Here is a 25,224-nt window from a genome sequence, read left to right on the forward strand (position 1 = left end):
GTTGTTTGCAATTCTTGGCTATTGTGAATAATGCTACTATGAACACGGGACAGCAACTATCCCTTTGGGATCCTGTTTTCAATTCTTTTGGATAAATACCCAGAAGTGGGATTGCTGCATCTTATGGTAGCTCTATTTTTAATTATTTGAGAAGCCTTCATATTGTTTTCCATAGCAGCTTGACCATTTTACATTCCCACCTTAGCGTTCAAGGGTTCCAATTTCTCCACATCCTTGCCAACACTCGTTATTTCTTGTTTTCGTAAGTGATATTACTGATTTTATTGAAAAGATTACAGAAAATTTTGAGTTATAAGTAGACAATTTTAATGTAGAGTATAAAGCTTAGGAAATTGTGAGGAATTGAATATGAGGCTTCAGATGGACTATAATTACATGTATGCACTGCCCCGATTTTTTTATACAAATTATAGAAATATCTGCATTGCTTCAAAATTTATATAACTATAGGTTTGAAATATGTCATGTACTTTATACAAAATTTTATCTATTATGATAATGGTTGTACAACATCATGACTGTACTTAGTGCCAGTGAATGATACACTTAAAAATGGTTAAAATCTTAAATCTTATTTACATTTTACCACAATTTTTTAAAATGCTCCCAAAATTGTGTCTATTAAAAGTTTCTGGCCAGGTGTGGTGGCTCACCTGAGGTCAAGAATTTGAGACCAGCCTGGCCAACATGGTGAAACCCCGTCTCTACTAAAAATACAAAAATTAGCCGGGCGTGATGGTGGGTGCCTGTAGTCCCAGCTACTCAGGAGGCTGAGGCAGGAGAATTGCTGGAACCTGGAAGATGGAAGTTGCAGTGGGCCGATATCATGCCACTGCATTCCAGCCTGGGGGACAGAGTGAGACTCCATCTCAAAAAAAAAAAAAAAAAAAAAAAGAGTCTCTGGTAAACACCTTGTCTCTTCAAATCCTAAAAACCACCATTTGCATAATTGCTGATTGTAAGTGAAATAATATGATTTATTATCTAGTATGAAGTTCATTTCTATGAACTTCATTTCTGACCATTTCCTGGTGCCAGTCAATAGATGTGGCAGTTGTTACTGAGCATTCTCGAACCTCCTTTTAGATAAAAGAAGTCAGGGACAGTCACGTAGTCTTCTACTGCCTCTGGCTCAGCTGAGAGCATTGTAATATGTTTTCTTCCCCATGCAAACCACAAACGGGGTGTGTGTGTATGTACTTGTGCATATAGATATATTTAATCCTGATTAACAAGATACTGAAGAAAGAAAGCAGCTGTGTTCTGTATTACTTTAAGCATTTAGTACAGGAAAAGAGGCATTTCTGCAGGTAAATAGATTTATAAATATAACTCATCCTGTTTCACTGCCGTAGCTACATATGTAGGAGTAAACCTACAGGAGGTCAAGCAGCATGTAACTAGGGAACTCCTATATTTAGTTGAGAAAAATTAATCATGATACTTCGCAGAGACTTCTGGAAGAAAATTAATTAGCATTATATTCTAAAGGAATTTAGGATGGGGGAATGAATAGGTCTTTGCATCAACATACGTGCTATGATTGAAAGGCAAATAAAAACTAGTTAGGGCTTGGTGACTCTTCTTCCCTAATAAGGGAAATGTTCATGATATTTTAATTGAAAAATATTTAAAAAGTTACAGAGAATATCCCAATTTAAAAAAGTTTTATATACATATGTGTTCCAAAATGTAAATAGTAGTAACTTTTGGGTGATGTGATTATGTATTTTGTACTTTTTCTACATCTTCTCTAATTATATATAATATTTACTTTTTTTTTTTTTTTTTTTTTGAGACAGGGTCTCACTCTATTGCCTAGGCTGGAGAGCAGAGGTGCAAATAGGGCTCACTGCAGCTGGAGAGCAGAGGTGCAAATAGGGCTCACTGCAGCTGGAGAGCAGAGGTGCAAATAGGGCTCACTGCAGGCTGGACCTCCCTGGGCTCAGGTGATCCTCCCACTTCAGTCTGCTGAGTAGCTGGGACTACAGGCACACACCACCATGCCCAGTTAATTTTTGTATTTTTTGGTAGAGAGGGGGTTTCACCATGTTGCCCAGGCTAGTCTCGAACTCCTGGGCTCAAGGGATCTGCCCACCTCAGCCTTCCAAAATGCCAGGATTACAAGTGTGAACCACTGTGCCTGGCCTTAGCACTTTTCTTATCAGAAAATAAAAATTTTATATATATATAGAGAGAGAGAGAGAGAGCAAATGAAATGTTATTCCCTTTGCAGTGGTGGGAGGTGTACTTGAAATGTTTGTTGTTTTCTTTTTCCTTTTTTTTTTTTTTTTTTGAGATAAAGTTTCACTCTTGTCGCCCAGCCTGGAGTGCAATGGCGCCATCTCAACTCACTGCAACCTCTGCCTCCCAGGTTCAAGTGATTCTCCTGCCTCAGCCTCCCGAGTAGCTGGGATTACAGGCATGCGCTACCATGCCTGGCTAATTTTTGTATTTTTAGTAGAGACGGGGTTTCCCCATGTTGGCCAGGCTGGTCTCGAACTCCTGACCTCAGGTGACCCACCCACCTCAGCCTTCCAAAGTGTTGGGATTGCAGGTGTGAGCCGCTGCACCCGGCCGAAATGTTTGTTGTTTACATCAAATTTTATTTTATTTTTCTTTTTTTTGAGATGGAGTTTTACTCTTGTTGCCCAGGCTGGAGTGCAATGCCGTGGTCTTGGCTCACTGCAACCTCCGTCTCCTGGGTTCAAGCAATTCTCCTGCCTCAGTCTCCCGACTAGCTGGGATTACAGGGGCCTGCTACCATGCCCGACTAGTTTTTGTATTTTTAGTAGAGACGAGGTTTCACCATGTTGGCAAGGCTGGTCTTGAACTCCTGACCTCAGGTGATCCGCCTCCTTGGCCTCCCAAAGTGCTGGGATTACAGCCGTGAGCCACCGCGTCCGGCCCAAATTTCCTTTCCATGGATGAATGGTGATGATAACAACCATCCACAGCCTAGGAAAAAAGTCATAATTTAAGTATTCTAGCCTAGAAATACAAGCTGTCAAACTATTGGGCAAGATAAGAGGCTTACAGTTGCTGATGCAATTATTATATAAAAAGAATATGCAGCAGTCAGAGAAAATCTTTAGCCAAGTGAATAGATAATACAACTATACTGCACACACATTCTAGAAGAGAAGAATATGGAGAAGAACCAGAGATCATACTTTCTATATGTAAAATCAAGTAGATCGTAGGCTTAGAGGTTTCATTTATATCAGCAACTAATTTACGTGTGTCTGTATTATTCAATGTAGGATCATTATAGATATGAGGTATTTTAACACTGCAGATGATTTTTCAGTATGGTCTGAGGTGGTATAGTCATACATGCACTTGATCTTGCTTCTTTTCTCATAGCTAAAATAAACTCTAGGGTTGGGCATTAAAAACTATGGTTTTAAGCATTTAAACAGTAAGAAGTTTCTATTCTATTTAGAAATAAATTTTACAAAATAACAATGTAACTGGTATGGTTATTCATTATTAACTAAGAACAAAGCCAATTTTATGTGTGTACCTGAGTAAATTTGTAAAGCAAACTCCTTAGCAAAATATTGTCAAGCTCCCTATATTCAAACTAAGTCAAAATGCTAAAAGTCTCTGTATTTTGGAGACCAACTTAAATACGTTCATTTTCACAACCAGTTCCCAAAAACTTGTCTTAATTAAGGATTGAAAATGATTGCTACTATGTGAACATATCTAATTACTGGGAATTTACTCTGATCAGCTTTGGTTCTTAAGTTGCTATGTCTCTAGATTTAGTAATTTTGCATTAATTCACTGTACTGCAATGAATGGGTTTGTGATGATTCAGGTACAAGATTGAGAGAGTGGATAGCTATTCAGAATTTATGTTTTTTTGTTTGTTTGTTTGTTTTTTTGAGACAGAGTCTCGCTCTGTCGCTCAGGTTGGAGTGCAGTGGTGCAATCTTGGCTCACTGCACCTCCGCCTCCCAGATTCCAGAGATTCTCCTGCCTCAGCCTCCTGAGTAGCTGGGATTACAGGTGCGTGCCACCACGCCTCGCTAATTTTCGTATTTTTAGTAGAGACAGGGTTTCACCATGTTGGCCAGGCTAGTCTCAAACTCCTGACCTTGTGATCCGCCCACTTCAGCCTCCCAAGGTGTTGGGATTACAGGTGTGAGGCACCGTGTCCAGCCTAGAATATATGTTTTAAATCTGCCTTTAAGTAACATATAATATAGTTTTAAAAAACAAGGGTTACAATTATTACAGACTAAACATTCATTATGCTGATGCGTGAATTTCAAGACTGAAAAACCACTAGTAAATTATTTCAAAGCTTTACAAAAGACAGTGAATTTTACTCTGTGACATCTCACAATGCAACTTACTTTTTCTTCTTAGAACCATAATAAATACAAATAACCATACTCAAAGATCTAGCACATCCTTATTCATATGTTTTATAGCGCAATAACCGGGAAGGAAAGTACTGGCTTTTAAGTAATCCTATAAAACAATTTCAGTTGATAAAACACCTGCCTACTTATTGGCAAAACTACCAGTTCTTATGAAGGGTATTTTAATGCTCAGCTGCTCTATTGAGGTGTGAATGCAGCTAAGTTTGCACTTGTTAGTCTATAAGATGGTCCAAGCATCTACAAATTGCCTTGAAAATACGAATGATATCTTCTGGATCAAATGAAAACTTTACATTTTGTGAAAATGAGGATCAAAAGACTGTCAGTAAAATTTATTAGAAAGGTTTTGGGCCAGGCGCGGTGGTTCATGCCTGTAATCTCAGCATTTTGGGAGGCTGAGGCTGGAGGACTGTCTGAGCCCAGGAGTTCGAGACCAGCCTGGGCAACACGGGGAGACCCTGTCTCTACAAAAAACAAAAAAAATCAGCTGGGCATGGTGGTATGCACCTGTGGTCCCAGCTACTCAGGAGGCTGAGGTAGGAGGATTGCTTGAGCCCAGGAGGTTGAGACTACAGTGAGCCATGATCACACCACTGCACTCCAGTCTGGGCCACAAAGCGCGAGACCCTGCCTCCAGAACAAAAAAAAAAAAAAAAAAAAAAAAAAACGAAAACGGATCCCAAACTCCTAAGCAACACATATGGTTATTGTCTTTAAAAATTAATGCATGTGGCCGGGTGTGGTGGCTCATGCCTGTAATCCCAGCACTTTGGGAGATAGAGGCAGGTGGATCACCTGAGATCAGAAGTTCAAGACCAGCCTGACCAACATGGAGAAACCCTGTGTCTGCTAAAACTACAAACTTAGCAGGCATGGTGGTGCATGCCTATAACCAGCTACTCAGGAGGCTGAGGCAGGAGAATTGCTTGAACCTAGGAGATGGAGATTGCAGTGAGCTGAGACCGCGCTATTGCACTCCAGCTGTGTCCGGAATTGATGGGTTCTTGGTCTCACTGACTTTAAGAATGAAGCCGCAGACCCTCGCGATGAGTGTTAAAGATGGTGTGTCCGGAGTTTGTTCCTTCTGATGTTCAAACACGTTCGGAGTTTCTTTTTTCTGATGGGTTCATGGTCTCACAGGCTTCAAGAGTGAAGCTGCAGACCTTCACAGTGAGTGTGACAGCTCTTAAGGCAGCGCGTCCGGAGTTGTTCATTCCTCCTGTTGGAGTCGGCGTCTCGCTAACCTCAGGAGAGAAGCAGCAGACCTTCGTGGTGAGTGTTACAGCTCATAAAGGCACTGTGGAGCCAAAGAGTGTGCAGCAGCAAGATTTATTGCAAACAGCAAAAGAACAAAGCATCCACAAGGTGGAATGGAATGCCAGTGAGCTGCCACTGCTGGCTCTGGCAGCCTGCTTTTATTCCCTTATCTGGCCCCACCCACATCCTGCTGATTGGTCCATTTTATAGAGAGCTGATTGGTCTGTTTTACAGAGAGCTGATTGGTCCATTTTGACAGGGTCTGTTTTGATTGGTCTGTTTTACAGAGAGCTGATTGATGCATTTACAATCCCTGAGCTAGACACAAAAGTTCTCCAAGTTCCCACTAGATTAGCTAGACACAGAGCACTGATTGGTGTGTTTACAAACCTTGAGCTAGACACAGGGTGCTGACTGGTGTGTTTACAAACCTTGAGCTAGACACAGAGTGCTGATTGGTGTATTTACAATTCCTTAGCTAGACATAAAGGTTCTCCAAGTCCCCACCAGATTAGCTAGACACAGAGCACTGATTGGTGCATTTACAAACCTTAAGCTAGACACAGGGTGCTGATTGGTGTGTTTACAAACCTTGAGCTAGACACAGAGTGCTGACTGGTGTATTTACAATCCCTTAGCTAGACATAAAGGTTCTCCAAGTCCCCACCAGATTAGCTAGACACAGGGCACTGATTGGTGCGTTTACAAACCTTGAGCTAGATACAGGGTGCTGATTGGTGTGTTTACATACCTTGAGCTAGACTCAGAGTGCTGATTGGTGTGTTTACAAACCTTGAGCTAGACTCAGAGTGCTGAGTGGTGTATTTACAATCCCTTAGCTGGACATAAAGGTTCTCCAAGTCCCCACCAGATTAGCTAGATACAGAGTGCTGATTGGTGCATTTACAAACCTTAAGCTACACACAGAGTGCTGATTGGTGTATTTGCAATCCTTTAGCTAGACATAAAGGTTCTCCAAGTCCCCACTAGATTAGCTAGACACAAAGCACTGTTTGGTGCATTTACAAACCTTAAGCTAGACACAGGGTGCTGATTGGTGTGTATACAGCCCTCCAGCTAGACATAAAAGTTCTCCAAGTCCCCACTAGACTCAGGAGCCCAACTGGCTTCACCTAGTGGATCCGCCCGCCAGTCCCGTGCCCTGTGCCCGCACTCCTCAGCCCCTGGGTGGTGGATGGGACCAGGCACAGCAGAGCAGACGGTGGCGCTCATCGGGGATGCTCCGGCCGTGCAGGAGCCCACTGCGGGGGGGAGGCTCGGGCATGGCGGGCTGCAGGTCCCCAGCCCTGCCCCGCGGGGAGGCAGCTGAGGCCCAGCGAGAATTCGAGCTCAGCGCTGGCGGGTCAGCACTGCTGGGGGACCTCCGCAGCTGCTGGCCTGGGTGCTAAGCCCCGCACTGCCTGGGGCCAGCGGCGCCCAGCCGGCCGCTTGGAGTGTGGGGCCCGCAGAGCCCACGCCCACCCGGAACTCGCGCTGGCCTGCCAGCGCGGCACGCAGCCCCGGTTCCCGCCCGCGCCTCTCTGTCCACACCTCCCCACAAGCCGAGGAAGCCGGCTCCAGCCTAGGCCAGCCCAGAGAGGGGTTCCCACAGTGCAGCGGTGGGCTCACTCTGTCACCCAGGCTGGAGTGCAGTGGTACGATCTCGGCTCACTGCAACCTCTGCCTCCTGGGTTCAAGCGATTCTCCTGCCTCAACCTCCTGAGTAGCTGAGATTACAGGCCCGTGCCACCACACCTGGCTAATTTTTGTATTTTTAGTAGAGATGGGGTTTCAACATGTTGGCCAGGCTGGTCTCTCCTGACCTCAGGGTGATCAGCCCACCTTGGCCTCCCAAAGTGCTGGGATTACAGGCATGAGCCACCTTGCGCAGCCCAAATCATACAGTTTGAAATGAAACTTTGCTACAACCAGCTTTTGCTGTAGCACACACATACACCACTGAACCTGTTTGAAATACAGTTTTTTTCTTTTTCATGATTCATCTTTGAGTAGCTCCAGGCTGAAGGACTGAGGTACCAGTAAAAACTTAAAGGCACAAATTCTCCTTGAAGACCGTCTCCCTTTTCTTTGTCCTCATATTTTATGTTGCTTTATCTTTGAAATTTTTCATGAAAAGGAAATTAGTGGGTTCAAATGAAATTGTCCTTTAGAGCATGAGTACTTGTTCCCATGGACAAATCTTTTTCTCCCCTTGCTCTTCCTGGCCTGAAACACAGGAAACCAGAGTCAGAAGTTATCTCCCTCTCCCTGTGATGCCTTGAGATTTTTTCTGCATTGTTTTATGCCTGAAATCCAATAGTCTTCCTCCATTAGAAAATACTGTTATACCAAATAATTCTAGATGAATAACAAAGATCTTTGTAGGCCTTCATTTTATGTTTTTTTCTTAACTGTTTTATTATCATGACACAGATTGTAATATTACGAATTTTTGGACGTTTCAAAAGGTCAAGAAGAAAAAGATGTTGGAAAGCAATGAGTGAGTCCTTTTGATTTTTAACTTATTCCCCATGTCCCTATACTTACTTCCTGTGCTTTATCTTTTTTTTTTTTTTTTTTTTTTTTTTTTTTTGAGATGGAGGCTCGCTCTGTCACCTAGGCTAGAGTAAAGTGGCACGATCTGGGCTCACCGCAACCTCTGCCTCCTTGGTTCAAGCGATTCTCCTGCCTCAGCCTCCCGAGTAGCTGAGATTACAGGCACGTGCCACCACACCCAGCTAATACTTATATTTTTAATAGAGATGGGGTTTCACCATGTTGGCCAGGCTGGTCTCAAACTCCTGACCTCAGGTGATCTGCCCGCCTTGGCCTCCCAAAGTGCTGGGATTACAGGCGTGAGCCACTGTGCCCGGCTTATTTTTCTTTATGTTTTTGCTTCATAAGAGGTTCTGTTAAGCAGTGATTCCCAACTCTCGCTGACATTAGAGTTGCTGGGGAAGCTTTAACAAAAAAATGCCCCAGAGAGATTCTGATTTGATTGGCTTGGAGTAGAATTCAGGCACTGATATCTTTAAAAACTCTCCCCAGTGTTGAGAAACAAATTTAGAGAGTTGAGAAGTAGTATGTTAAATTACAGAATCGTACTGAGTTTTCGTAGTCTGATAATACAATTTGCTTTGCTTTTCTTAAATTTGCATTGAGATGGGATTTGAAGCATATTGTGCTCTTTTGAATGTTGAAGTTGCATTGTAGAAGTTTAGAAGCTCTGGCTATGGGTTATCTAAGTTGATGTTTTGAGGAGGCATATTAATGTTATATACTTGGCTGACTTTTAAGGTTGTGTTGTAGCATGAGGAACACAAATAAAACAATTGTAAATAAAAAAAAATTTGAAGTGCCTGTGGGACATCCAATTAAAGAAGTCTAGATGGTAGGTAGTAGATATCAAGGTCTGAGAGAGATCCCGGGTAAAGGTACAAATTTATGAGTTGTCACCATAGATTGGTCATTAAAGCCATGGACTTGGTTGATACGTAAGAAGAGAAGAAAAAGAAACAGAGAAGAACCTTGAGGAACACAAATATTTAAGAAATGGGCATAAAAAGAGGAGATTATATTGCAGAAAGGCAACATGGTATATAGACCAACTAGGAGGAGAGGTGAGAGATCACAGTGGCTCAGAAAAAAGTGGTGGCAGCAGAGATACTTATTTATTTATTTATTTAGCGACAAGGTCTCTCTCTGTCACCCAGGCTGGAACACAGTGGTGCAATCATGGCTCACTGCAGCCTCGTCCTCCTGGGCTCAAGTGATCTTCCTATCTCGGCCTCTTGAGTAGTTGGGACTACAGGTGCATGCCACCACACCCAGCTATTTTTTTTTCTTTCTTTTTCTTTTGAGATGGATTTTTCACTCTTGTTGCACAGGCTGGAGTGCAATGGCGCAATCTCAGCTCACTGCAACCTCCGCCTCCTGGGTTCAAGTGATTCTCCTGCCTCAGCCTCCCAAGTAGCTGGCATACACCACCACAGCCAGATAATTTTGTATTTCTAGTAGAGATGGGGTTTCTCCATGTTGGTCAGGCTGGTCTCGAACTCCCGTCCTCAGGTGATCTGCTTGCCTCGGCCTCCCAAAGTGCTGGGATTACAGGCATGAGCCACCACGCCTGGCCTTATTTTTTTTCTTTTTGGTAAAGATGGAGTCTCCCTATATTGCCCAGGCTGGTCTTGAACTCCTGGGCTCAAATGATCTTCCCACTTGGGCCTCTCATGGTGTTGGGATTACAGGCGTCAGCCACCACACCCAGCAAAGAGATATTTAGATTTAGTGATGGAGCAGATGTGAGGGAGGAGGGAGAAAAAGAAATCAAGGATGACTCATATTTTTCTGACTTAAACATTTTGGTGGTTGGAGGTATGATTTCCTGAACTCAATTTCCTGATCATTTCCTAAACATGAAAGAAAAGCAGGAGATAAAGTTGGAATTTAGCATGTTAATTTAGATGCCTTTGAGACATCCAAGTAGGTGTTTGTTTCATTGGGTAGATATTTATTGATTACCTATTCTAAGTCAGGCACTGTGTTTCAAACTGGATATTCATCTGGCACGTACTTGGGTCTGTAACTGTCTGGCTTGAGGTCTCAGCTGCAAGTGTACATTTGAGTTGTCAGCATTCAAATGGCATTTGAAGCTATACGAATAGATGACATCACATAGGAGGAGTAAGTAGAGTAAGAAGAGGGCTTAGGTTCCAACCTGGGGAACCCCAACATTGATGAGTAAAGGAGATTGAGAGTGATCAGAGAGGTAAGAGAAAAACCAGGTTACTATGAGAGGAAACCAGGTTACTATGAGAGGAAAGAGTTTTGAGGAAGACTGTGTAGTCAACAGGGCCAAATAATGTCAAGAAATCAAGTATAAAAAGGATTGAAAACTTTCCATTGGATTTAGTGGCAAGGAAGTCATTAGTTATCTTAATGAAGATGAATTTCTGAAATTGGAATTGCTGGGTCAAAAGATGTTTAATAAATATTGCCAAATTGCTCCCCAAAAAAAGTTTATAACAATTGATACTCCTTCCAACGGCATATGAGGGTATCTGTTTCCTCATACCCTCACTAATGAATATTATAAGTCTTAATCTTTGCCCAATGGGTTGAGAGAAATAATGTCTCATTGTTATCTGAATGTACATTTCTTTTTCTTTTTTTTTTTTGAGATGGAGTATTGCTCTTGTCGCCCAGGCTGGAGTGCAATGGCGCGATCTTGGCTCACTGCAACCTCTGCCTCCCGCCTTCAAGCAATTCTCCTGCCTCAGCCTCCCGAGTAGCTGGGATTACAAGCATGTGCCACCATGCCCGGCTAATTTTGTATTTTTAGTAGAGGCGGGGTTTCTCCATGTTGATCAGGCTGGTCTCGAACTCCTGACCTCAGGTGATCCACCCGCCACGACCTCCCAAACTGCTGGGATTACAGGCATGAGCCACGGCGCCCAGCCTGAGTGTCCATTTCCTTGATGATTTGTGAGGCAGCATATGTTTTTGTCTGTTTATTGGCCATTTGTTTTTCTTCTAGGAATTATCAGGTCATTGTCCATTCGTCCATTTTTTAACCAGAGCATTTTATCTTTTTCTGACTGATGTTTAAGAGCTCTTCAGATTATTAAGGTTAGTGAGCCTCTGCATATGACACATGTATCTTTCTACATTTTTTAAATTGTTCTTTTAATTATTCTTATGGCTTGAGGCGAACTCTGAGGTTATCTACCGCCCCCAGTGTTGCCAGGTGGACCCTGTGTACCACATGCATTGCTGTAGATGCTTGCTCACCGAAGAGGAATTCCTGTTCATTGGTGTTTTAGGAACCTGTTACATTCAAGGATGTGGCCATGGACTTCACCAAAGAGGAATGGGGGCAACTAGACTATGCACAAAGGGCCTTTACAGAGAAGTGATGCTGGAGATCTATGGCAACCTGGTCATAGTGGGTGAGGACAACTACTCTTTGGAGAATTCTGTTTTCCTTGGTTGTAAAAAGCTGTGGACTCTTAAGTGTTTAACAAAGCTAGGGCTTGAGATTCAAATATCAGAATTTCCAAATCGTGACTGAAGAAATAAAATGCTTCTATCTAAGTAAAAACTCAAGTTTCAGGGCCAGATGTGGTGGCTCACTCCTGTAATCCCAGCACTTTAGGAGGCCAGGGCAGGAGGATTTCTTGAGCCTAGGAGCCTAGACCCTGTCTCTACAAAAAAATTAAAAATTAGCTGGGTGTGTTGGCACATACCTGTAGTCTCAGCTACTTGGGAGGCTGTGGTGGGAGGATTGCTTGAGCCCAGGAGTTTGAGGTTTCAGTAAGCTATAATTATGCCACTGCACTGGACCTGGGTGACAGAGCAAGACCCCCACCACCCCCTGAAAAAAAACCCTCCAAGTTTCTACATCCCTATTTGTTTTCTTTTCTTCTTTCTTTTTCTTTCCTTCCTTCCTTTCTTTCTCTCTTCTTTCTGTCCTTTCTTCCTTCTTTCCTGAAATAAATATCCTTGTACTTATATTTTTGAGTATTTGTTCCAGTATTTCTATAGGATAAATCTCTGGAAGAGGAATTGATGGATCAGAGATTTATATATCTACTATAAATTTGCCCCCTGAGAAGTTTGAATTAATTTCTATTCTTGTCATGGGAATCCCCGTTCTCCACACTCTCACAACTCCTAATCTTTTTATTCTTCACCTACCTGAAGAGTGGGGAAAATACTATCTCACTGTCTTTTGATTTGCCCCCTTTCTCTCCCAACTTGTTCTCCCTCTATCTTCTCTTTCTCACAATAAAGTGGAAACTGCATCCTTCAAGTTGCCTAGGCCAAAAACCTTGGAGCCACCCCATTTTTCTTTCTCTCTCACCACCAGATCAATCCGTCAGCAAATCTGTCAGCTCTACTATCAAAGTACATTCAGAATCCAACCACTCCTCACCACTTCCACTGTTGTTACCCTAATTAACCCACTGTGCCTCTCTGTCTCCCCCTCCCTTTCTCTCATTTTGAAGAGCCTCCTACTCTCCACATCCCAGCCTGTTTTACATGTGGCAGTCACTGCGATTGTGTAAAACACTCAGTCAAATCAAAACCTTCTCAAATCAATGCTCTTCAGTTAGCGAATACACAAACTGGAGTATATCCATGCTTTGGAATTCTACACAGCATAAAAAGAATGAACTATTGATTCACACAACAATTTGGATAGATTTGAAGGGAATTATGCTAAGTAAAGAAAGGTAATCTCAAAAAGTTACATACTGTGTGATTTAATTTCTATAACATTCCTGAAATGACAAAATTATCAAGATGCAGAACAGATTATTGGTTGCCAGGGACTGGAGAGAGGAAGTGGGAAGTGAGATGGGTCTGGCTGTAAAAAGGGTAGCACAAAGAATCCTTACGATAGAATAGTTCCTTATTTTGTTACACAATTCTACACAGGTAATAAAATTGCACAGAACTAAATACACACACAAATTAGTGCATATAAAACTGGCGACATTTACAAAGACATATGCACACATATGTTTATTGCGGCACTATTCACAATAGCAAAGACTTGGAACCAACCCAAATGTCCAACAATGATAGACTGGATTAAGAAAATGTGGCACATATACACCATGGAATATTATGCAGCCATAAAAAATGATGAGTTCCTGTCCTTTGTAGGGACATGGATGAAGCTGGAAACCATCATTCTCAGCAGACTATCGCAAGGACAAAAAACCAAACACCGCATGTTCTCACTCATAGGTGGGAATTGAACAATGAGAACACATGGACACCAGAAGGGGAACATCACACACCGGGGCCTGTTGTGGGGTGGGGAGAAGGGGGAGAGATAGCATTAGGAGATATACCTAATGTTACACGACGAGTTAATGGGTGCAGCACACCAACATGGCACATGTATACGTATGTAACTAACCTGCACGTTGTGCACATGTACCCTAAAACTTAAAGTATAAAAAAAAAAAAACTGGCGACATTTGAATGAGGTCTGAATTGGTAACATCATCTTACATGTAAACCAAATTATAAAAATTAGATTTGAAAATATATTTATTCTACAGAAATTTTAGAAAATACAGATGCTTAAAAATAAAATGTAGGATGGAATTTCACTAAGTGTATTCTCTTAAAAAATGAAATATTAGCTGGGCGTGGTGGTTTATGCTGGTAATCCCAGCACTTTGGGAGGCCAAGGCGGGCAGATCACCTGAGGTCAGAAGTTTGAGGCCAGCCTGGCCAACATGGTGAAACCCTGTCTCTGCTACAAATACAAAAATTATCCAGGCATGGTGGTGCATGCCTGTAGTCCCAGCTACTCGGGAGGCTGAGGCAGAAGAATTGCTTGAACCCAGGAGGCAGAGGTTGCAGTGAGTGGAGATCATGCCAGTGCACTCCAGCCTGGGCAACAAGAGTGAGACTCCATCTCAAAAAAAAAAAAAAAAAAAAGGAATATTATTCAGCGCTAAAAAGAAATGAGCTATCAAGCCATGAAAAGACATGGAGGAACTTTAAATGCATATTACTAAGTGAAAGAAGCCAAACTAAAAGGCTACATGTGCTGTATGATTTCAGGTATATGACAGTCTGGAAAAGGCAAAACTATGGAGAAAGTAAAAATATCAGTGGTTTCCAGTGTTTAGCGGGGAGGGAGGATGAGTAGGGAAAGCACAGATTGTTAGGGCAGGGAAATATTCTTTATGATACTAAGATGGTGGAGACATGTCATTATACATTTGTCAAAGCCCACAGAATGTGCAACACCAAGAATGAAGCCTAGTGTTAACTATGGATGTTGAGTGATGTGTGGGTGTAGATTCAGCAGTTGTAACAAATGTACCATTCTGGTACAGGAAGTTGACAGTGAGGGAGGTATGCATGTATGGGGGCAGGGTATATGGGAACTCTACTTTCTTTTTTGAGATGGAGTTTCGCTCTTGTCACCCAGACTGGAGTGCAATGGCGTGATCTCGGCTCACTACAACCACCACCTCCCGGGTTCAAGCGATTCTCCTGCCTCAGCCTCCCAAGTAGCTGGGATTACAGGCGCGCACCACCACGCCCAGCTAACTGTTTTGTATTTTTAGTAGAGACAGGGTTTCACCATGTTGGCCAGGCTGGTTTCGAACTCCTGACCTCAAGTGATCTGCCCGCCTCAGCCTCCCAAAGTGCTGGGATTATAGGCATGAGCCACTGCGCCCAGCCAAGATTATCTCTTTATCTTTAAAGAGGTTTAGCAAAATCCTCAGAGGCAGAAAAATGTCCTGCCATTTCACTAAATGTATCTAAGCATGAGTTTTTTATGTTTTTCCTAATCAGGACACATTATGCTTCTTTCTTGGTGCTATTTTCTATTTTATTAATTTTTAAAATCTTTACTAAATCCTTCTACTTATTTTAGGGTGTTTTTGTTTGTTTTGGGGTGTTTTTGTTTGTTTAGTTTTTAGAGAGACAGGCTCTTTCCCTGTCACCTAGGCAGGAGTGCAGTGGCATGATCATAGCTCACTGTAACCTTGAACTACTGAGCTCAAGGGATCCTCCCATCTCAGCCTACAAAGTAGCTAGGACTACAGGCGCACACCACCACTCCTGGCTAATTTTTAAATTTTTTTGTTGGAGATAGGGTCTTGCTATGTTGCCTAGGCTGGTCTTGATCTCCTGGCCTCAAGTGATCCTCACATCTTGGCCTCCTGGACCTCTGGGATTACAGATGTGAGTCACTGCACCTGGCCTTCTTCTATAAACTTCTTTTAAGTTTATAATTATTTTTCTAGTTTCTTGAGTTAGAGCTTATTTATTCTTATTTTCTAATAAATGCATTTCACTGAATTAAATTTTCCCTGAATACTTTGGCAGCATCCTGTCCAGAACACAGTTTGGCAACATATATCAAAAGCCTTTAAAATGTTTCTGCCATTTGACTTAGAAATTTTACATCTAAGAACTACATTAAGGAAATAATCAGATGAATGATGTATAAAAGGTATATATTACCATGTTATTTTTAGTATTTTTTAAAAAAGGAAAAATTTTACATTACAATAACAGAAATGTTTTTCTGTAAATTATAATATTTATATATGATTCATTATTCTCTAGCAAGAAAAATTATATTTTTGGATTATTTTTAATGACAGGTAAATGTACATAAGTTATAGCAGGATGTTAAAGATACATACATATAAGAAAAACCTGGAAAGACACTAATATATTAATAGTATCAATGAGTGGTTTTTATTTTCTATTTTATGCTTTTCAGGATTTTGCAAGCCATCTTGAATGTTTCCCAATACTATTGCTTGGCAAATAGCAAAAGTAAGCAAAAGTAAGTGTAACTGGTTTATTGTAGAGTGTCAGCTCAATGGCGCATATAAGATTATGAAATGGTTTTTTTTTCCAATCACTGCTTTCAACCATATTCTATTGAATTCCTCAAATAAATTAATGTATGAATAAATATTGAATGGGAAAGAAAAACCTAGAGGGAGGGCTTTAAAAAAGAGAGGTTTTCCCCTTTACCAGCTCCCAGAGGAAGAATACAAATGGAGTAAAATATTACAAACTGTTGAAAATATTTGCAATTCATATTACAGACAAAGGGATCCATTGCCTTATTTATCAAGAGCTCTTAGAAATCAAGAAGAAAAAGCATGGAAAATATGAAGAGACTTGTCAGAGAGAGATACAAATGATCCTTAAATTTTTGGAAAGGTGTTCTACCTTTCTCATTATATGAGAAATGAAAATCAAAACCATACTGAGACACCATTTCCTACCTATCAGGTTAGCAAAAAATTGAAAAGGTTTTTTTTTGTCTGTTTGTTTTGTTTGTTTGTTTGTTTGTTTGTTTTTTGAGATGGAGTCTCGCTGTTACCCAGGCTTGAGTGCAGTGGCACGATTTCGGCTCATTGCAACCTCGACCTCCTGGGTTCAAGTGATTCTCCTGCCTCAGCCTCCTGAGTAGCTGGGACTACAGATGCATGCCACCATACCTGGCAAATTTTTTGTATTTTTAATAAAGACAGGGTTTCACCATGTTAGTCAGGATACTGTTGATCTCCTGATCATGATCTGCCTGCCTCGGCCCCCCAAAGTGCTGGGATTACAGAAATTGAAAAGTTTTAAAACCCATTGTTAGTGAGGCTGTGGAAAAACAGGCATTCTCAGACTGCTGTGGGCAGGCACAAAATAGAATAATTCCTTTGGAGAGCAATTTGACAGCATCTACCAAAACTGTAGATACACTTGCCTTCCAAGACAAACACCCCATTTCTGGGAGTTTATCCCACAGATACACTTGCACATGTGCTTTGAAAACATTCGGCATTGTCTCCATTAGTAAAAAATGGAAAACAACACAAATGTATGTCAATAGAGGACTGGCTTAGTAAACTAGATATCCACATAGTGGAATAGTATGCAGCTCCAATGAAGAGTAAGCAAAATTTCCTCATTGAAATGGAAATATCTCCAAGATATGTTATTAAATGAAAAAATGCAAGATAAAGAACAATGTATGTATGTATGTATATATAAATATATTAAATATGTACACAGAGTATTTTGTGTAAGGGAGAATGAGAATTATATCCATATTTGCTTATATTTGCATAGTGTCACACTGGAAGCCTAAATAGGAACTAATAAAGTCATTTAATAATCAAAACTATATTTAAAAGTTGTCTGGGGAAGCAAGGGTAAGAGTGAGGCTTTCCTGTACTTCTTTTTCACTTTTAAATATAGTTTTGATTGTTGAATAACTGGAACACATTACCCATTTTTTAAATATAAACAACAGAAATGTATTTCTCACAGTTCCAGAGGCTAGAAGGTAGGGATCAGAACCTCGCCAGAGTCAGGTTCTGCTGAGGGCCCTCTTCTGGTTACAGATTGTAGCCTCCCATAGCAGAGAAGGCTACAAGGACCCTGGTTTGTTTTGTTTGTTTGTTTGTTTGTTTGTTTGTTTTTGAGACGGAGTCTTACTCTGTCGCCCAGGCTGAAGTGCAGTGGCGTAATCTTGGCTCACTGCAACCTCCACCTCCCAGGCTCAAGCAACTGTCCGGCCTCAGCCTCCCGAGTAGGTGGGATTACAGGCGTGCGCCACCATGCCCAGCTAATTTTTGTATTCTTAGTAGAGACAAGTTTTCACCATGTTGGCCAGGCTGGTCTTGAACTCCTGACCTCAGGTGGTCTGCCCACCTTGGCCTCCCAAAGTGCTGGGATTACAGATATGAGCCACCATGGCTGGACCCTGTTTTTTAAATTGTGCTAAATGAGAGCCAGTGGGTTTTCAGTATTTATTGATATTAAAATATTGTTTTTCCATATTAACTTTTTTTTTTTTTGAGACAGAGTCTTGCTCTGTCACCGAGTGCAGTGGCACTGATCTCAGCTCACTGCAACCTCTGCCTCCCGGGTTCAAGAGATTCTCCTGCCTCAGCCTCCCGTGTAGCTGGGACTACAGGCACCTGCTACCATGCCCGGCTAATTTTTTGTATTTTTAGTAGAGATGGGGTTTCACTGTGTTAGCTAGGATGGTCTCGATCTTCTGACCTCATAATCTGCCTGCCTTGGTCTCCCAAAATGCCTTATTAACTATTTATGTGATTTTTTAAATAAAATACTTTATTTGTAAGTTTTACACCTATAGATTTGTCTGTTTTTGTTTTTTTTTTTTTCTTTTTTAAATTTGTGTGTGCTATTTTAGTCAGGATTTGGTATTATGGTTATTTGGTCTCCAAAATGGAGTATAATCCACCTAAATAAACTAGAAAAAGAAAAGCAAAAATAAAGCAAGCAGAATGAAAGAATAAAGTTTAGCCGGGTACAGTGGCTCACACCTCTAATCCCAGCACTTTGGGAGGCCGAGGTGGGCGGATCACCTGAGCTCAGGAGTTCGAGACCACCCTGGGCAACATGGTGAAACCCTGTCCAAAAATTTGGCCGGGCGTGGTGGTGCGCGCCTGTAGTCCCAGCTACTCAGGAGGCTGAGGCACAAGAATCGCTTGAGTCCCGGGAGCAGAGGTTGCAGTGAGCCAAGATCACGGCACTGCACTCCAACTTGGGCTAAAGAGTGAGACTCCGTCTCAAAAAATAAATAAATAAAAATTTTTTAAAAAGTTTAGAGCAGAAATCAATGAAATTGAAATCAGAAAAATAGAGAAAATAAATTAAACACTGATTCTTTAACAAGAAAGACAGAGAAGACACAAATTGCTGACATAAACAATGACATAAACAATGAAAGAGGGGACATCACTACTTTCCCTTTTTACAGACAGTAAAAGGATAATAGAGAATCCTAGGGACAACTCTGTGCACACATATACAACAACTTAGATAAAATGGACCAATTCCTTGAAAGACACAAATTATCAGAACTCATTCAAGGAGAAATAAAGTGAATAGTCCTGAATCTATTAAAAGATCTAATTCATAGCTTCCAAAAAGGAAAACTTGAGGTCAAATGATTTCACTGGTGAATTCTTCCAAACATTTGAAGAAGAAATAGCAGCAATTCTTCACAATCTCTTCCAGAAGATAGAGGCAACACTTTGTAGCTCATTTTATGAAACCAGCATTACACTTGTATCAAAACTAGACAAAGACACCAGGCATGGTGGCTTACACCTGTAATCCCAGCACTTTGGGAGGCTGAGGTGGGGGGGGATCACCTGAGGTCAGGAGTTCGAGACCAGCCTGGCTAACATGGTGAAACCCCGCCTCTACTGAAAATACAAAAAATTAGCCAGGTGCAGTGGCGGGTGCCTGTAATCCTAGCTACTCAAGAGGCTGAGGCAGGAGAATTGCTTGAACACAGGAGGCAGAAGTTGCGGTGAGCTGAGATCTTGCCACTGCACTCCAGCCTGGGCAACAAGAGCAAAACTCCATCTCAAAAAAAAAAAAAAAAAAGAAAAAGAAAGAAAAGAAAAAGAACAAAACTAGATAAAGACATCATGAGAAAAGAAAGCTACAGATCAATAACCTTCATGAACATAAGTGCAAAAATTCTTCAGCAAAATCTTAGCAAATCAAATTTAGCAATATATAACATGACACGTCACAACCAAATGAATTTTATCCCAGTAATACAAGGCTGGGTCAGTACTTGAAAATCACTGGGTGTGATTGCAGCACTTTGGGAGGCCAAGGCGGGTGGATTAATTGACATGAGGAGTTCAAGACCAGCCTGGCCAACGTGGTGAAACCCCGTCTCTACTAAAAATACAAAAAATTAGCCAGGCGTGGTGGTACGCACCTGTAGTCCCAGCTACTTGGGAGGCTGAAGCAGGAGAATCGCCGGTGTGGGGAAAAGAAAGAGAAATCAGATTGTTACTGTGTCTGTGTAGAAAGAAGTAGACATGGGAGACTCCATTTTGTTCTGTACTAAGAAAAATTCTTCTGCCTTGAGATGCTGTTAATCTGTAACCTTGCCCCCAACCCCGTGCTCTCTGAAACATGTGCTGTGTCCACTCAGGGTTAAATGGATTAAGGGCTGTGCAAGATGTGCTTTGTTAAACAGAAGCTTGAAGGCAACATGCTCATTAAGAGTCATCACCACTCCCTAATCTCAAGTACCCAGGGGCACAAACACTGCGGAAGGCCGCAGGAACCTCTGCCTAGGAAAGCCAGGTATTGTCCAAGGTTTCTCCCCATGTGATAGTCTGAAATATGGCCTCGTGGGAAGGGAAAGACCTGACCGTCCCCTAGCCCGCACCCCCGTAAAGGGTCTGTGTTGAGGAGGATTAGTATAAGAGGAAGGAACGCCTCTTTGCAATTGAGACAAGAGGAAGGCATCTGTCTCCTGCCCGTCCCTGGGCAATGGAATGTCACGGTATAAAACCCGATTGTATGTTCCATCTACTGAGATAGGGGAAAACCGCCTTAGGGCTGGAGGTGGGACATGCGGGCAGCAATACTGCTCTTTAAGGCATTGAGATGTTTATGTGTATGCATATCTAAAGCACAGCACTTAATTCTTTACCTTGTCTATGATGCAGAGACCTTTGTTCACATGTTTATCTGCTGACCTTCTCTCCACTATTATCCTATGACCCTGCCACATCCCCCTCTCCGAGAAACACCCAAGAATGATCAATAAATACTAAGGGAACTCAGAGGCTGGCAGGATCCTCCATATGCTGAACGCTGGTCCCCTGGGCCCCCTTATTTCTTTCTCTATGCTTTGTCTCTGTGTCTTTTTCTTTTCCAAGTCTCTCGTTCCACCTAACGAGAAACACCCACAGGTGTGGAGGGGCAACCCACCCCTTCAGCTGGAACCTGGGAGATGGAAGTTGCAGTGAGTTGAGATCAAGCCACTGGATACCAGCCTGGGCGACAGAGCAAGACTTTGTCTCAAAAAAAAAAAAAAAAAGAAAGAAAGAAAAAGAAAAAGAAAAAGAATAAAAGAAAGAAAATCAATGTAATGTACACTTATATAAACATTAACTCAAAATGGATCATAACAAAACTATGCGATTTAACACATCCTCAAAAAGTTACACGGAAAGTTTCCAAATGGCCCAGCAACTCCACTCCTAAGCATACTCAAGAGAAATGCAAACGTACACCCACACAAAAACCTGTACACAAATGTTCATAGCAGCAGTGTTCATATCAGCTAAAAAGTTGAAACAACCGAAATGTTCGTCAACTGATGAGTGGATCAATAAAACATGGTATATACACACAATGGAATATTATGAAGCTATAAAAAGAAATCAAGTACTGATATCTGCTACAACATGGATGAATCTTGAAAACATGCAAAGTGAAAGAAGTCACAGAAGAACACATATTGTATACTTCCATTTACATAAAATGCCCAGAATAGGCAAATTTACGGAGACAGGGTGGGTTAGTGGTTAGTGGTTTAGGACTAAGGGTGGGAAGTAGGGAAGAGGATTGATTGGTAATGGGTATGAAGTTTCTTTTGGGGTGAATGATAATGTTCTAAAATTAGTTTGTAGTGATGGTTATACGATCCTGTGAATATACTAAAAAACATTGAGGCTGGGTGTGGTGGCTCACGCCTGTAATCCCAGCACTTTGGGAGGTCAAGGTGGGTGGATCACCTGAGGTCAGGAATTCAAGACTAGCCTGACCAACATGGTGAAACCCTGTCTCTACTAAAAATATAAAAATTAGCCTGGTGTGGTGGTGGGCGCCTATAATCCCAGTTACTTGGGAGGCTGAGACAGGAGAATTGCTTGAACCCGAGAGGCGGGGGTTGCAATGAGCCAAGATCTCACCACTGCACTCCAGCCTGGGCAACAGAGCGAGACTCCATCTCAAAAAAAAACCAAAAACCAAAAAAATTTACTTTACATTTTAAATGAGTGACTTGCATGGCATGTGAATTACATTCTAATACAGCAATTAAAAAAAAAAAAAAAGACCAGAGGCCCAGTGTGGGGGCTCATGCCTGTAATCCCAGCACTTTGGGAGGCGGAGGTGGGCAGATCACCTGAGGTCAGGAGTTCCAGACCAGCCTGGCCAACATGGTGAAACCCCGTCTCTACTAAAAATACAACAATTAGCCAGGTGTGGTGACACATGCCTGTAATCCCAGCTACTAGGGAGGCTGAGGCAAGAGAATCACTTGAACCCCAGAGGCGGAGGTTGCAGTGAGCCAAGATCGTGCCACTGCACTCCAGGCTGGGTGACAGAACGAGACTCCAGCTCAAAAAAAAAAAAAAAAAAAAAAAAAAAAAAAAAAAAAATCAGAGACCTGAATGTAAAACATAAAATTATTATAAAACTCTTAGAAAAAAAATAGGAGAAAATCTTTATAAGCTTTAATTAAGCAAATATTTTTTTTTTTTGAGAGCATCTCACTATGTTGCCCAAGCTCCCTTCAAACTCCTGGGTTCAAGCAATCCTCCCATCTCAGCCTCCTGAGAAGCTGGGACTACAAGTGTGTGCCAAAGAGCTGTAACATATAATATCAAAAGCACAATCCATGAAACAAAAAATTGATAAATTGGATTTCATCAAAATTTAAAGCATTTTATCAGTGAAGGACATTGTTAAGAGAATAAAAAGACAATTGAGAGGAAAACAGTTGTATGACACATCATACAAAGCCATATGATATGGTTTGGATTTCTGTCTCCGCCCAAATCTCATGTCAAATTGTAATCCCCAGTGTTAGAGGAGGGGCCTGGTGGGAGGTGATTGGATCATAGGGGCAGATTTCCCCTTGCTGTTCTCATGATAGTGAGTGAATTATCACAAGATCTGGTTGTTGAAAAGTGTATAGTACCTCCCCTTTCACTCTCTTCCTCCTGCTCACAAGAGGTGCCTGCTTCCCCTTTGCCTTCTGCTATGATTGTAAATTTCCTGAGGCCTCCAGAGTCATGCTTCCTGTACAGCCTGTGGAACCTGAGCCAATTAAACCTCTTTTCTTTTTTCCTTTTTTTTTTTTTTTTTTGAGATGGAATCTCACTCTTGCTCAGGCTGGAGTGCAGTGGCGTGATCTCGGCTCACTGAAACCTCCACATCCCAGGTTCAAGCGATTCTCCTGCCTCAGCCTCCTGAGTAGCTGGGATTACAGGCGCATACCACCACGCCTGGCTAATTTTTGTATTTTTAGTAGAGACGGGGTTTCACCATGTTGGTCAGGTTGGTCTTGAACTCCTAACCTTGTGATCCACCTGCCTCAGCCTCCCTTTCTTTATAAATTACCCAGTTTATGGTATTTCTTTATAGCAGTACAAGAACAGATTAATATACCATATATTTAGAATATATCTGTTTAAAAACCCTGTCAGGCTGGGCTTAGTGACTCATGACTATAATCCCAGTGCCTTAGGAGAATGCAGGGAGAGGATTGCTTGAGACCAGGAGTTTCAGGCTGCAGTGAGCTATGATCATGCCACTGCACTCCAGCTTGGAAGACAGTGCCAGAACCTGTTCTCTGAAAAATAAATAAATAACCTTGCAAAACTTGACAATAAGGAAACACATGATCCAATTTTTAAAAGAAAGAAACAATATGAATGGATGTTCACCAGAGAATATATACAGATAGCAAATAAACATCTCAAAAGATGCTCAACATCATTAGTTATTAGAGAAATGCAAATTTAAAACAAAATGAAACATTATTACACGTCTGCTTGATATTTATTGCTGTGTAACAAATTACCCCAAAACTTAGTGGCTAAAACAACATGATGTTTATCTCAGTTTCTGTGGGTCAAGGATCCAGGAACAGCTTAATTGGGTTCTCTGCCTTAGAGTCCCTCACAAGGCTCCAATCAAGTTATTGGTTGGGGCTGTGAACGCCAATGAAGGCTGGGAGGCTGGAGGGAAAGGATCTTCTTCCAAGCATGATTATTCACAGGATTCAGTTACTTGAGGGCTGTTGGACTGAGGGCCTCAGTTCCTCGCTAAGGAACAGTGGAGTTCCTCCACTGTTGGTTGGAGATGGCCTTCAGTCCCTTGCCAGGGTTGACCCTTCCCATCAGATCAAGCACGCAAGAGGAGCCAGCAAGAGAAGTCCAGCAAGACAGAAGCCACAGTCTTTTGTAATGTGATCCCAGAAGCAACACCTCATCACTGTTGCCATATTAATTTCCATTTAAGAAAGTGAAAGGGAAATTAATATTGTTAGTATTTCTTCTTCTATTCATTAGAACCAAGGTATTAGGTTCGGCCCAAACTCAAGACGAGGAAATTATCCAAGGGTACAATTACCTGGAGGCATGAATACCATGGGAGCCATGTCAGAAGCCTCCTACCATGTGCCCTTTTGAGATTAGCTAAAATTTGAAAATACTGACAATACCAAGTGTTAGCAAGGGTTCAAAGCAACAGGAATTCTCATACATTGCTGGTGGGAATGCAAAATGTCACAGCCACTCTGGAAAACAGTTTGGCACTTTCTTAAAAAGTTGAACATATATCATGTTACCCAGCAATCTCACTTCTAGGTATTCATTCTAGGGAATGGAAAATGAGAACACATGGACACAGGGGCACACATCACTGGGGACTGTCAAGGGGTGGGGGCAAGGGGAGAGAGAGCATTAAGACAAATACCTAAAGCATACGGGGCTTAAAACCTAGGTGATGGGTTGATAGGTGCAGCAAACCACCGTGGCACATGTATACCTATGTAACAAACCTGCATATTCTGCACATGTATCCCAGAACTTACAGTAAAATAAAATAAAAATAAAAATAAGAACTTATATCCAACAAAAACCTGTATACAAATGTTTCTAGCAGCATTATTCATAATCATCCAATGCTGGAACCAACTCAAATGTCCTTCAGTGAGTGAATGAATAAAAAAATTGTGGTATATCCATTAAAGTTACTACCCAGCAGTGAAAAGGACTTAATTATTAATAAATGCAACAACATGGATAAATCTAAAATACTAAGTGAAAGAACCCAATCTCCAAACTCATCTCACACACATAATGTGTGATTCCATTTATATTGTTACTGGCAGAGGGTGTCCAAGTTCTTGGTGTCTTGAGCAAAGAATTGCGCAAAACACACAAACAAAGCAAGGTAAGAATGAAGC

The 25,224-nt window shown here is 41.7% G+C and overlaps 1 long non-coding RNA gene and 1 pseudogene across 1 annotated transcript; both read left to right on the forward strand.

Annotated features, from left to right (window-relative positions):
- On the forward strand, positions 7,304-9,019 carry LOC100328982 (eukaryotic translation initiation factor 2 subunit gamma pseudogene; annotated as a pseudogene).
- Positions 11,153-16,530, forward strand: LOC105378673 (uncharacterized). Its single transcript, XR_947235.2, has 3 exons — positions 11,153-11,623; positions 15,946-16,011; positions 16,280-16,530. It is a non-coding gene; the product is annotated as an uncharacterized LOC105378673 (long non-coding RNA).
- Positions 16,531-25,224: the final 8,694 nt, after the last annotated feature.

This window comes from Homo sapiens, chromosome 1 (assembly GCF_000001405.40).
Source record: "Homo sapiens chromosome 1, GRCh38.p14 Primary Assembly".
NCBI classification, from domain to species: Eukaryota; Metazoa; Chordata; class Mammalia; order Primates; family Hominidae; genus Homo; species Homo sapiens.